This window comes from Homo sapiens, chromosome 1 (assembly GCF_000001405.40).
Source record: "Homo sapiens chromosome 1, GRCh38.p14 Primary Assembly".
Lineage (NCBI taxonomy): Eukaryota > Metazoa > Chordata > Mammalia > Primates > Hominidae > Homo > Homo sapiens.
In genome coordinates, this window is record NC_000001.11 from 121,252,438 (window position 1) to 121,267,183 (window position 14,746).

General features: G+C 42.2%; 1 protein-coding gene across 2 annotated transcripts in view, besides 1 other annotated feature; it reads left to right on the plus strand.

The window, feature by feature from the left end:
- The window catches only part of SRGAP2C (SLIT-ROBO Rho GTPase activating protein 2C), a 207,900-nt gene that overhangs the window by 67,463 nt on the left and 125,691 nt on the right, over window positions 1-14,746 (plus strand). The gene's annotated exons all lie outside the window — the stretch shown is intronic.
- Window positions 5,074-5,635: an enhancer, noted in NCBI's record as "NANOG hESC enhancer chr1:120765266-120765827 (GRCh37/hg19 assembly coordinates)". NCBI's record gives its function as "activates a minimal SCP1, AML or CMV promoter by ChIP-STARR-seq in naive and primed H9 embryonic stem cells {active_cell/tissue: H9 hESC(naive and primed)}" and the evidence as "EXISTENCE:reporter gene assay evidence [ECO:0000049][PMID:30033119]".

A 14,746-nucleotide genomic window follows, 5' to 3' on the forward strand; every position in this document is an offset into this window, starting at 1 on the left:
TTTAGGAAAACAGACGAAACCAATAAAACCAAACTATTTCTATACAGTGATTATTAGCAGAGATGCCATTGGCATTTTAGATGCATTTTGGGACTGTTCCACACATTTAGGACATTACATTCCTTTCCCTTTGCACTAAATGCCAGTAGCACTTCCCTAGACACTGACAAACAAAAAGTGCCCCTGTAGATTTCTGAAAAGGCCAGGGTGTGGATTGGGGTGGTGGTGTTGTTTGAGTCTAAAAGAATGTAACTTCTCTTCAGGGTTTCCCAGTTTCCAGGTTATGTTGGCCTGGCAGGGAGGGTCTTGACCGACACGGATGGTTATGGACCTTTACTTAGTGAAAAACTCAAATGAACTTCCTTTCTAGAACTCATGGTTTTCATTCAGTGACACTGGACTTTGCCCTGGAGCAGTGACTGGTCAGGGAGCTGTATCTAAGTGGGAGTTGCACCTGTGTGGGCAAAAGTGTGGCACTCAGATTTTCGTAACAATGGGCAAGATTTCAGGAAGCAGGATTTTGGTTCCCTTACTTTAAAATGCATGGAGAATGGCTGGGTTTGGTGGCCCATGCCTGTAATCCCAGCACTTTGGGAGGCCGAGGTGGGCAGATCACCTGAGGCCAGGAGTTCAAGACCAGCCTGGCCAACATGGCAAAACTCCATCTCTACTAAAAATACAAAGCCTAGCATGGTGGAACATGCCTGTAGTCCCAGCTACTTGGGAGGGTGCGGCACGAGAATCACTTGAGCCCAGGAGGCAGGGGTTGCAGCAAGCCGAGATCACACCACTGCACTCCAGCCTGGGCAACAGACCGAGACTCCATCTCAAAAAAAAAAAAAAAAAAAAATTAAAAAAAGCATAGAGGACTGGTTGTATCCTAATAGCACTGGTCCATTTTTCTGTGGTGTGCATTTTAGCTTTTTTCCTAACAAAAAAATCTTACCACATGATTCTCTGCCAACAGATTTTCCTGAGCTGGAAGGAACAGATGTTTCTGTTGGAAATGGGCATCTGTTTCTCCCCTCACTGTGGCGTGTGCTTCCTATGAGCCCAGGCCCAGGTAACAGTGAATTATCATTAGAAGGCTCTCTCGTAAGACTCATGGGGAAGAACCTATAAGACCCTAGTCTTCCAGGAGGCCAGAAGGAGAGTAGAATGGAGGGTGAGCTTCAGAGCACTGAGGACTGCAAGGGGGAACAGAGCTGCTGTCCTGTCTGCTTGGCAGTGACCAGCAGCTGCTTCTGGCCCTCCTGAAACAGGAGGCGAGTTACTGAGACAGTAGAGAAACCCTGAGTCTTTAGAACTGTATTATCTACCTGGGCCTTATAACCTGGACATGCCCAGGGGTAAAATATATCCAAGTAGAAATCTTCCTTCTCAGAACATACCCAGAAATAATGATTCTCTATTTTGAGTACTTTCTTGTGCAGTATACTAACCAGGTGCCTACTGCTATAAATTAATTTTTTTATTTTTCGTTTTTCTCTTTTTTGATGGAGTCTCACTCCGTCACCCAGGCTGGAGTGCAGTGGCACGATCTCGGCTCTCTGCAGTCTCAACCTCCTGGGTTCAAGCAATTCTCCTGCCTCAGCTTCCTGAGTAGCTGGGACTGCAGGCATGCGCCACCATGCCCAGCTAATTTTTGCATTTTTGGTAGAGGTGGGGTTTCACCATGTTTGCCAGGCTGGTCTTGAACTCCTGAGCTCAGCTCCTCCACTCACCTCAGCCTCCCAAAGAGCTGGGATTACAGGCGTGAGCCACTGTGCCCAGCAATTTTTTTCTTTAGTCTAAGTGTGCACATTAATGCATAGGAAATCCCCATCTTTCCCCAACCCCCTAGTTTTTCTTTTCCTCTTTTTAAAAACTGGATTTTCATTCATTCTTTCTCTTTCCTCCTCCCATCCCCTGCCCTCCCCAAGGCGTGTTATAGGTACCCCCAGACCATTGCGTTAAAGCGTTCAGGATAGTGCTCTGCTGATTTTAAAAAAACATTTAAAATAACATTTCCTGCTTTTTCTAATTAGAAAAGCAACATGTTTATCATAGACAGTTTGGAAAATACAGAAAAGCAAAGTGAAGAAAATAATTATCAAGGAAAACGATATGCCTTTCTTTTAAGCCATCATTTTCTCTCCATCTTTGCAGCCACAAACTCCTTTGTTCCACTTTTTACGTCTTAGAGTAGCTGGGGGTTGGCACACAGATGGTTGGAAGTCCTTGGATCTCACTGTGTTATAAGAGTACAGAAATACAGCAGGCAGCTCTTTGGCTTTGTTTTGAAGCCCTGAAGAATGGGAGAATGCTCTGCATCACTGGAGAACATTTGACTGCATTCATCTCCCAACAAGAGTGGTTGCTGGGAGGAATGAGCAGAAGGAGTGGTGTGTACCAGACTGTACAGGAGTCTTTCCTCCCTAGGCCTGGTCAGCTTTTGCCCTTGAACAGGGGAAGAGGATATCTGGGGATTTATATTTTCTATCAGAATTTGAGCCTTGTCACCTTGGCTGTCCCTCTGTGTCCTTGGGTTTTTAAAATGGAACCTCTTTGTTGTAAAATATTAGTTGTACAGTTGAATTTTTCAGAGTAGAATTGGGATCCAGAGTGAGAAACTTTCTCCCTGAAGGGGCTCCCTGGACTTTTGCTCTTGGTGAGTTGCTGGCAGATACTGACACTAGAAATAAGTGTCAGAGAGGTCTGATATCACTTCAGTTTCAGACTGACCCCAGAGCAACCCTTGAGGACAGCAGTGTGTAAGCTCAAAAAAGATTGTTCTAATTTTGATGACCCTCAGAGTTAAGGCTTCTAGGGGAACTCTTCATTTTCGTAAAAATCCGTCTGTGGGTGGTCACTGTGTTGAGAGATGAGAATTTATGGGTTGAAGTTGTTTTTATGATTTCAGAATAAGTGCTTCTACAATGGGATATTGGTCTTGGGAGTGTAGACGTTGTGGGACCAGGAGCTTTGCAGACTTCCCTTGTTCCCAATTTCTTGGATTTTTTTTTTCTATCCCTTCATTCCGTTGATTCTGATGTCCTAGTATTTTTTCCTAGATCCCAGATCAAGAGATACTTTTATTCCTAATTCTCCCTCTGAAAATTCTATGTCTTTCAGAACAAGATAGGGGAAAAGAGAAATGAGCTTATTAAAAACTATGATATCACAAGGTCAGGAGTTCAAGACCAGCCTAACTAACATGGTGAAACCCCGTCTCTACTAAAAATACAAAAATTATCTGGGTGTGGTGGCATGTGCCTGTAATCCCAGCTACTCAGGAGGCTGAGACAGGAGAATCACTTGAACCCGGGAGGCGTAGGTTGCAGTGAGCCGAGATTGTATCACTGCACTCCAGCCTGGGTGACAAAGCAAGACTCAGTCTCAAAAACAAAAACAAAAACAAACTACTATGGGCTGGGCATGGTGGCTCATGCCTGTAATCCCAGCACTTTGGGAGGCCAAGGCAGGAGGATCACTTGAGCCTAGGAGTTGAAGACCAACCTGGACAATGTAGTGAGACCTTATCTCTACTAAAAATAAAAAATAAAAAATTCACCGGGTGTGATGGTGTGTTCCTGTAGTCCCTGCTAATCCCAGAGGCTGGAGTGGGATGATTGCCTTACCCCAGGAGTTCAAGCTTGCAGTGAGCTATGATCATGCCGCTGCACTCCAGCCTGGGTGACGCAGCAAGACCCTGTCTAAAACAAACAAACAAAAAACTAGGGTGGTTAAAAAAAAATCTTGGTGAACAACCTCTCTTGTGGATTGTAATTTCTCAAAGAAAAATATGATGTAAAGATTCTTTCTTTTACTCTCCCTTCTGGGTGTCTCATCAAAAAGCGTATATTCCTGAGCTTTGCTGGCAATCGTATTATTTTTTCTCTCCACCTCAGTCCCTGTAACTTTCCTCTTTGTCCATTCTGGAGTTGTGGAGGTGATAAATGGGTCCAAAAATGCTGTTAAGAGTGATCTTTAGGTGGGCACAGGTTCTTTATGATATATCCCTAATCAAGAGCCTTTACAGGTTCTCCCCAAAGTCTCTTTGTGCAGGAATGGGAGCCTGCTGTGTTTTAGACTGGATGGGGCTCTGACCAAGTATTTTTTGTCTTTCCCCGCAGGGCATAGTAGTAGGTGCTCAGTGAAGATTTGTTGGATTGAAGTGGTTTGAATTAAATATGATTTGTATGTAATTTTATATTCAAATAAAGTCTGTTCCTGGTCTGAGTTACTTTTCAAATTATATATTGTTACTCTGAAGATTGTCATTTCCTGAATTTTATTTTCTTTGTTCCTTTTCACCCACTTGCTTCCATTGTTCCAAATTTAGTCGTGTTGGAAATCAGACTAGGTAGGTGTGGAAATAATTGTCGAATCAAATTGTTCAGTCAGGGGAAGGTGGGGGGTAGATGGCTAAAGACATCAGAATCTTTTGTCTGGGTTTTAGGGTCAGAAAATGGAAACTGGCAGAGCAAAAAGGTCAAAAAGTATCAGGAATACCCTGCTTTGCTTTAAATCTCTATTTGCCTTAGAGCAGTCATCTGTAGTGTGGTGACCACAGGCTTTCTAATGTCTATGGGTTTAACCCCCTAGAGAGCAATTCCTTTGGGGTGAGGAGACTGGAGGGGATATTCTTCCCTTCCAGGGGTCTTCTCATTGCCTTCTTTTTAATTTTTTAAATTTAAATTTTTTTTTTTTTTTGAGACAGAGTCTTACTCTGTCACCAGGCTGGAGTGCAGTGGCGCGATCTCTGCTCACTGCAACCTCCGCCTCTCCCGGGTTCAAGTGATTCTCCTGCCTCAGCCTCCCAAGTAGCTGAGACTACAGGCACGCATCGCCATGCCCAGCTAATTTTTGTATTTTTAGTAGAGACAGGGCTTCACCACATTTGCCAGGATGGTCTCGATCTCTTGACCTCGTGATCCACCAGCCTGGGCCTCCCAAAGTGCTGGGATTACAAGTGTGAGCCACCATGCCAGGCCCCATTGCCTTCTAATAGCCCTTTTCTCTTACCCTTTAGCTCTTGGCGCTTGACTTCCTATGTCCATCCCCAATATCCCTACTCCGTGAAAGTGAGGTGAAAATGCCATCATCTTTCTGCCTGTCCTGCTTTTAATCATCTTCCAAGGCAGCAGCAAGTGCAATTCTAGTCCCTTTCAACCCCTTCCATGTGGGTGTTAGACTGAATGTTTAGCTTCTTTATGAAGATGCACATTAGCCATTCAGAAACTTAATCTCATAATGATTTGTGTGTATTGGTAAAAAAGAAAAGCCATGATCTCTGACTGGTATACTCAGATGTTCCCTTTGGTCACTGATGGCAGGATTTCAGAAGCGAAGGACCATTTAATTTAATTTTGCAGATGGCAGGAGGTAAGCAGGAAAGCTTGGTCACAATATGCCCCCTCCTGGGAGAGTGGCTTCAGTAAATTCAGGTTGCCGAGAGCCTTAGATGTGAGAAATTTAACCCTCTGCCTTCTTTCCACTTCCCCTCCCTTATATAAAACTTGGTTGTTGTTTTTGTGTGTGGGGTGGGGGGGTGGGGTAGGGGGTGGAGTTGAGGAAGGGTGGGAAGGTGGAGTGAAGAAAATTGCCTGGGTTGAAAAGCCAGTGACTGATGTGAGATTACCTTGTAGTGATGTTGCTTTGGGCATATGGATTATGACCAGATACAGATTAACCCGTTCCTCTATAATTGTTTTATGGCCTCATCCTTCTGAAATTGCCTCCTTGTGGCCTGAAATCCTTTCTGGGGTTTTCCTTAGGCTGGGAACTCTGCTTGCAGATGAGAAATAAACCTACCTCTCTCCAGGGCATGAGTTCCACAGTGAAACTGAGGAGTAGATGGATGAGGAGTCTTCTTTTATTTTGTTTTTAGGGTGGTGCCCTTCCCACAGGGAAGCAAGCTGCGGATTCTGAATTTGTTAATTGCACAGCAGCTGAGTATTTGCTGCCTAGTCCTGTTGAAGTTCCAGGATTGGATATCCAAGCTGTTGGCTTTTAGGATACATCCCCAAATGGTCATCTATCACTCTTTTTTTTTTTTTTTTTGAGACGGAGTTTTGCTCCTGTTGCCCAGGCTGGAGTGCAATGGCATGACCTTGGCTCACGGCAACCTCTGCCTCCTGGGTTCAAGAGATTCTCCTGCATCAGCCTCCTGAGTAGCTGGGATTACAGGCATGTGCCACCACACCCGGCTAATTTTTGTATTTTTAGTAGAGACGAGATTTCTCCATGTTGTTCAGGCCATCTATCACTCTTTACGGCCAATAGTCACACCCAAAATTTTGGTGACTTTCACAGTCTGGCTATTGGATAAATTTGGTTTCGGATCTTGCCAAAATGAGGCAAAATTGTTTTTCTTCATGCTTCAGAGCCATGCTGCTCTATAAGGAAGTCTATATTAAATAGGTAAAGACATATTTCTTAATAAATCAGTCTAGATGATGGTATTCAGAAGCTTGACAAAATTATCTTCCTAAAACTTGTTTGTTCCTGCTTTGCTAAAGGTTAATAGAAATAACTCATGGATAAGTAGTGAACTTTTTAAAGTTGCTGTTTTTGTCTTAAATCCCTCCTGTCTTTGCTCTTTTCCCTTCCTTTGTGGTGGCTGCCAATCCTACCTTGCAGATAACTTCTCCCTCATGAAAACAGAGGAGGATCTGATATTATTAATTTATCCTGGTAGTTTGACCATTGTAATGCTGTCCGTGAACATTTGCATTTCAGTTGTTTATCTATGAGTAGAAGGCCCTCTGGCTGGGAGTGGTGGCTCTTGCCTGTAATCCCAGCACTTTGGGATGCTGAGGCGGACAGATCACTTGAGGTCAGGAGTTCTAGACCAACCTGGACAACTTGGTGAAAAATACTAAAAATGCAAAAATAAAAAAATTTAAAAAATTAGCCGGCATGGTGGCGCACGCTTGTAATCCCAGCTACTTGGGAAGCTGAGGCATGAGAATTGCTTGAACCAGGGAGTCAGGGTTTGCAGTGAGCCAAGATCATGCCACTGCACTCCAGCCTGGGTGACAGAGTGAGACTGTCTCAAAAAAAAAAAGAGAAGAAAATAGAGTAGAAGACCCTTTTTTTCTTTTAGCCACTACCAAGTAGGTGAAGATATACTTATATGTTTTACAATTATTCATTCATTTATTCATTCACTCATCTGTGCAACAGGTATTTTTTGATGATCATGTATCAGACACTACTCTAGATGCTTTATTTCAGTCAATACAATAAAGATCTCTGTGAGTTAACATTTCAGTTGGGGAAGAGGGAGACAAACAATAAACATGATGAATATATAAATTGCTAGTGTTTAGAAGGTAATAAGTACAGTAAGGAGCATCAAGAATGCTGGGTAGTTGTGAGGGGAGTTGCTTTTTAAAATTTTTTCTTCTTTCTTCTTCTACTTTTTTTTTTTTTTTTTTTTTTTTAAAGAGACAAGGTCTCTCTCTCTCTTGCCCAGGTTGGAGTGCAGTGGCACCATGATAGCTCATTGCAGCCTCCAACTCCTGGGCTCAAGGGATCCTTCTGCCTCAGCCTCCTGAAGTACTTGGGACCACAGTCACATACCACTATGCCTGGCTAATTTTTTAATTTTTAATTTTTATTTTTTAGAGACAGGGTCTCATTTTGTTGCCCAGGCTGGTCTCAAACTCCTGGCTTCAAGCAATCCTCCCACCTCAGCTTCCTAAAGTACTGGGATTACAGGTGTGAGCTACCTGTGCCTGGCCCAGGTTGCATTTTAAAATAAGGGGTAGGGAGCTTTTAGATGAGGCCTCATGGAATAGGTCACATTTGTGCAAAAATTTAAAGGAGGTAAGAGTGTAAGCCACGTGGATATTGGGGGAAAGGCATTTCAGGCAGAGGAAACAGCCAGTTTAAAGGCCTTAAGGTGGAGCCCTAAGGCTCAAGTGTGCTTGGTGTATTTGAGGAATGGCAAGAAGGCCACTGTGGCTGAAGCAGAGTGCTCTGGTGGGAATGAGGTGGAAGTACTAGGAGATGAGGTCAGAGAGGAGAGGGTGAGAGGTTTTTAGGAGGAAGGGAGGAGATGCCTGATTACATCATACCATGATAGGCTGTTGGCTTTTATTCTGTAAATATCTATATCTACATCAATTATATCTCTCAGGACTTACAACTTTCCATCTTTATCGTCTTCTGAACTCCATAAGATCTTTCTAAGAATTGAGGGGAAAGTTGATTATAAGGGAGAATATACAAAACCTGGCATCGAAGCCTTACTAGAGACCTGGAACCTACTCTTTTTGGGACTTGGTAAATTGATGAGATTCCATGCGCCCCCACCCCCCATTCTCTGGCATACAGAACAGGAATACTTATATAGCTTACTCTCAACCCAACCTTTCCCTTCGTCTGCTTCAAGAATCTCAAATACTTACGATTTTTGGCATATTTGACATTATTTTAGTTAATTTCTGAACATGTTTTCCCACTGTTAACCCTCTTACCCCAGACAGCATTTTGAAACACTTTTTTCTTTTTTTTCTTTTTTTTGGCAGGGTCTCTCTGTCACCAGGCTGGAGTGCAGTGGTGTGATCATGGCTTACTGCAGCCTTGACCTCCTGGGCTCAGGCAATCCTCCCACCTCAGCCTCCCAAGTAGCTGGGACCACAGACATGCACCACCACACCTGGCTATTTTTTTTTTTTTTTTTTTTTTTTTTTTTGTAGAGACAAGGTCTCCTTATTTTGCCCAGGCTGGTCTCGAACCCCTGGACTCAAGTGATGCTCCTGCCTCAGCTTCCCAAAAGTGCTGGGATTACAGGCATAAGCCACCGTGCTCGGCCCTGAAATGCTTTTCTCTACCACCTAATACTTTCCAGTTCTGGAAATGAACTTTCTGACAGCATCTCATTAAATGAAATAATAGAAGTGAAAGCACTTTGAAACTCAGAAAGTCCAGGAAGAAATCGGCTGGTTGTCTCCACTCTCTTCATTACCCACCTGCATGCTAGCGGATGTACATAGCCAGAGGATCACTTTGGAGGCATTTCATTTCATTGGCGGGCGAGGGGGCAGTTCTTTTGGCCTAGTTGAATATTAGGCATATCTGGATCTAGTCTAGCCCCGACCTCCTTACAAGTCTTTGTGCTACAAAGTCCAGCGTTGGTGTGGTTTTTCAAGGAAGGATATAGAATGGTTTATTTTGGATGAGAATTTCATTTTGTGTACCTGATTTTGTATTTTTTTTTTCCTCTTAAGACAAGGTTTCACTATGTTGCCCCAGCTGGTCTCCAGCTCCAAGGCTCAAGCAATTCTCCCGTCAGCCTCCTGAATAGCTGGGATTACAGGAACGTACCATTGCGCCCAGCCCTTGTTTTGTTTTTGAAAGCTGTCGTGTTACTGCTTAAAGTCTCCAAACTGTTATTGAGAACACTGACCAGAGCCCTGTCCATAGACCAGTGTTTTTCCAAGTGCAGATTGCAACTCCTTTGCAGAGTAGGTTGTGGAGCCATTTTAGCTGACTACTCACCAGCTTTCTTCAAAATGTAAATGGAATAGGATAGAAAAATAATGAAAAATTGTAAAGTGAATTGGATGCAAAAAGGGTAAATATTGTTGTGTCAGACTTTTTTGGGTGAGTGTGCATGTGTTCACATACTGGATCACATTATAACATGTATTGCTCATTATGGGTTGTGGTCAGAAAAAATTCAGAAAACGCTGTCTCAGACTGTCCCAAAGTTGTATTTGCTTATTATGGAACTGATGAGGATAGAAGATGAGTGGCTCAGAAGGTTGTATCTTGGTGAGATAAAAGAAGACATCAAATGACAGTTTTAGTTAGAAAAATAATCCCAATTGAGTTTGTTACTCTTCTATGAAGGTGGAAGATCCTGTGCCAGAACATTATGCTCTTCAGGTCAACAGGAACTAAGCTTGTTGTTTCTCTCTGCACAAAGAATTGTGCAATTTCCAGCGGGAACTCCCCTCTGGAGGTGGAGAGGGAAGGGGAAGGAAGAGTGGAGATAGAGGCAATTAGGCAGAAATCTTTACTGTGAGCCTTAGCTGACCCAGGATCTACACATAGTTAACTCTGAGGCTTTGTTGGAATCCGCCAAAGATTCATTGTTAAAGACAGGGAAAGCACAACTCATTTCCATTTATTTTAGTTCAACATTTATGCCAGCTCTGCGCTAGGTGCTGGGATATAACAATGAATAAGACATGGTCTTGGACTTAACGGTGCTCCTAACCTGGCAGGGAAGACAGATGTAAATTGCTAATTATTGTACATTGTACTGAGTGTCATAATACAGTGTAAAATGCTCCAGTTTATGAATTAGAGGAACTATGCTTTCAGCCTTTTATTCTGAGAAATGTGCCATTTAATAATAAAGAACTGGGATACGGGTTTTTTTTTCTAAAATTTGGGGAAGACTACTTTGTTGAAAAGGAAAATGAAATTTCCAAGGGAATCAGGTTCATCCAGTCAAGCTATTGTGTTATTTTGTGTCTTTTCCTCTAAAAGTATTCTAATGTCAAAAAATTTTTTAAATCAAGTTGACATAATACACACCTGCCCAGGGAACCTGGAGACCTGTAAAATAATTTAAAACCATTTTTTTATCATATCTTTAAAAAATACTGGCAAACATAGTAATAAGAATTTGAGACTGGGTGTGGTGGCTCATGCCTGTAATCTCAGCACTTTGGGAGGCTGAGTTGGGCAGATCGCTTGAGGTCAGGAGTTTGAGACCAGCCTGGCCAACATAGCGAAATCCTGTCTCTACTAAAATACTTATAATCCTAGCTACTCCAGAGGCTGAGGCATGGGAATCGCTTGAGCCCAGGAGGTGGAGGTTGCAGCCAGCTGAGATCACACCACTGCACTCTAGCCTGGGTGACAAAGCAAGACTCTGTCTCAAAAAACAAACAAACAAAAAAAACTTGAACCCGGGAGGCGGTGCTTGCGGTGAGCAGAGATCACACCACTGCACTCCAGCCTGGGCGACAGAGTGAGACTCCGTCTCAAAAAAAAAAAAAAAAAAAACTTCAGTGCTTTTCTTTGTTGGAACCTGTAACACTTTGCTTTTACATTATCATTGATTTTTAAAATTACTAATAACTTTTTGAGACATGTAAAATCATGACAAATTCTACAGAAGTTCTATCAAAGCAAGTCATGTAGTGTGTTCAGGGTCCAGAACCTGAGTTCACCAGCTCCAGGCTGATTCACTTTTGTCAGCTGCATCCAACCTAAGCCTAGAACCAGATTGAATCAAATGCTAAGTTTTAATGTCTTTCATTTGGTTCTTTTATTTAGTTCAGTGTTTCTTACTGCTAGCTGACTTGGCTCTGAATTTTGTTCCTGCCTCAAGCAAATTCTGAATATGCCCATCTATGGATTTGAACAGTAGGATGTTTTTTCAGAGGTGTGAAATGATCAGGCAGCTTGATAACTTTAGACATACTGTACGTTATGAAGCATTTTCTTGCTTCTTGTTGTCTTTTTCTGGTGGATTGAGTCAATGCAGTTGGTAGAATCTTTTCCACTTATGTTATTGAGGCATGTGGTTGAAAAGTGACCTTTAAATGGTGTGAGGTGGGTAGGCAGGGGATAAATTCTTACCACAGTTTCTAGGATGAGGAAAGTGAAACTCAGAGGCCCAAATCTTCTGACTCACACAGTGATTCTGGGGCTGTCTGTAATATCTAAATGATGAGACTGATCTACTTGCAAGGTCAGGGCATGTGGTCATTTTCTTGCTAGCCTTTGGATCACCAGGCTGTCAGCATTTTGAGGGGGAGTATTTGCATCTTGCTTTATTTGGAAGATTCAGCTTGAGGGAGTCATTATTAGAAGATTCTTAGAACACTTGAGCCCTCTGAAAATGAAAAGTCTCACATTTCCCTTCTACTTTGGCTCTCTGTTGGAGGGGAACACTTATGTCATTAAAAACATTGTACTTTGCTTATCTAATTCCCACTCTGTGTTCACATTAATAGCTTCCCATTGCTCTTAGGAACAATTCCATACTTCTTCAGACTATTTGCAATACTCACCAGAGCTTGACCCCTGCTTCTTTCAACAGTCTCATCTTTTTTTCCTCTTCTCATTTAAATTCTATGCTTCAGTTACCCTGAATTTCTTCGATTATTTCGGTTCCTTGCATGCAGCTTCTTTTCTGTTGCCTCTGGGCCTTTGAACATGCTGTTGGCTGGAGTACTTTTCCTGCCTTCTTCCCATAGGTAATTCCAATCCTTTACATCTAGCTCCTCTGCAAGCCCCTTGCTGAGCCCTAGACCAATTTCTGTATACTCCTACAGCATCGTCTTTTTCCCCGATAATGGGCTTTTTACATTGCAATTACTTCTTATGGTAGTCTGTCTTCTCTGGTAGACTAGATTCCTTTGGAAGGCAGGCCCAAGAAGCTGGTTTAAATTACTGGAGTCTGACTAAAAAGACTTTTATATTAGACTGGTATTTCCCAACATTTAAAAATTTATGAACTTGGGCAGGGCATGGTGGCTCACGCCCATAATCCCAGCACTTTGGGAGGCTGAGGCGGGTAGATCACTTGAGACCAGGAGTTCAAGACCAACCTGGCCAACATGGTGTAACCCCATCTCTACTAAAAATACAAAAATTAGCCGGGCATGGTGGCACACCATTGTAATTCCAGCTACTCGGGAGGCTGAGGCTCACTAGAATTGCTTGAACCCAGGAGGCAGAGGCCGCAGTGAGCCGAGATCATGCCACTGTACTCCAGCCTGGGCAACCAAGTGAGACTCTGTCTCAAAAAAAAAAAAAATGAACTTCTTTCAGAGTAATATAATTTTGTGAACCCCCTCAGGAATTTAAAAAATAATGTCATTACTTTTATAGACTATTATAAAGCAAATTTATGTAAAATATTTTCTTTTACATCAACATTATTAAATTATTATACAGCTTATTTTAATATACACTTTAAAATTTAATAGCGTCCATTTTATATAAAGATGTTTTCTCATTTAATAGGTGATATACACTAATTTATTTAAATGAATTATGTAAGCGTGTGATTTGTTTAAAATTTATAATAAAATATAGTGCTTAGTTTGAGACCAAATATACATTAAAAATATAGTTGGAAATTTAATTACTTGCTAACACATTTTTTAAAAATAAGAGAAACCTGCATTCTTGACCTAATGTTTGGAATTTTTGCATTTCACACTCTAGAATGACTGCTTCTTACATGTAATTTTTAAGTTTTGTTTCTACATGGTAGCGGTTACCACAGAGAGTTTCAACTGCATATCTACAAGGGAGTAACACCTTGTAGCTATGGAATGCCTTTCCTCTAACAGTTACAAAGCCAATTTGGATATGTTTATCTCTATATCTTATGTCTTTAATATTGGATTTTGAAATACTAAAGATTTAATCAGGTAAATGTAACCTAGTGATCTGGTGAAAATCATCTAGATGTGAATTGGATGGCTTGGTACTGTTTTTTATGCTTCTAGTTGACAATTGGGTTTTATCAATGTCTTAGACTTCTTGTTGTTGGTTTTTTTGTTTGTTCGTTTGTTGTTGTTGTTGTTTTTGAGATGGAGTCTCACTCTGTTGCCCAGGCTGGATACAATGGTGCAATCTCTGCTCACTGCAACCTTTGCATCCTGGGTTCAAGTGATTGTCATGCCTCAGACTCCCGAGTAGCTGGAATTACAGGTGCCTACACCACACCTGGCTAATTTTTGTATTGTTTTGTAGAGATGGGGTTTCGCCATGTTGGCCAGGCTGGTCTGGAACTCCTGACTTCAAGTGGTCCTCCCCCTTCGGCCTCCCAAAGTGCTGGGATTATAGGCTTGAGCCACCATGCCCAGCCAACTTCTTGTTTTTAATCCACAGTCCACTATGACTGTACATTTTATGATATATGACAAAGAATAAGAGCAGTGAAAAACTGTAGAATGCTCATACCATCTTGGCCTAAGTGGTGGTTGCAAAACCACCATGGCCTAGATAATGATGTTTATTAGCTCATCACCCCTAATCATTGTGCATACTCACTTGATATATCTGAGGCTCTAAACTGCCCAATTATAAAGGGATAATTGGGAAAACAATAAGGTTGTTGATTTTTTAAAAAAGGAAACGAAGGAGTTGCCATGATTGCGGTTAGCAGTGTGAAGACCCTGGAAGACCTGCTTGAACTTCTGGGGTGTTCACAGTCTATTGCTTGGTCAGGAGCCTTAGAAAACTTAGACATATGTGTTAGGAGACCAGGTTTTGAAACTTGCTCAGGGTTGCATAAACTTCTACATTAAGTTCCATGATGCCAGATTAGTAGTCCACATTTGCATAGTAGACATGCTGTTGCTGTTCCTTTTCTTATCACGAAAAGAGCAGAAGATGCAGATTATACCTGAGACAGAAAGATACAGGGGAGATACTGAGCTTGTCGCCTACCTTTGGGCGCCTCTCATGCCTTGTATTTCACATTGAGCCTCACTTATCAGTGACACAGGGAATGGTCCTTTTGCTCTCCACCTTCCCCATGGCTGCCTGGAGGCAGGGGAGGCAGATTGTGCCACTTGCTGACATTGTGTTGCTGTGGATTAGTTGGAGGGACAGGGACAGGAAACTTTCCTGGTGGTGCATGTGTCACTGGGGCTCACACGGGTACTTTTAAATCTTCTTCTCACTGGCCTCTGTGATTCTGTGAACCTGGTTATTACATGTTCAAAAAGTGTCAGCTTATTTGAAAGGGATATTCTTATTTTGTATTTAAACA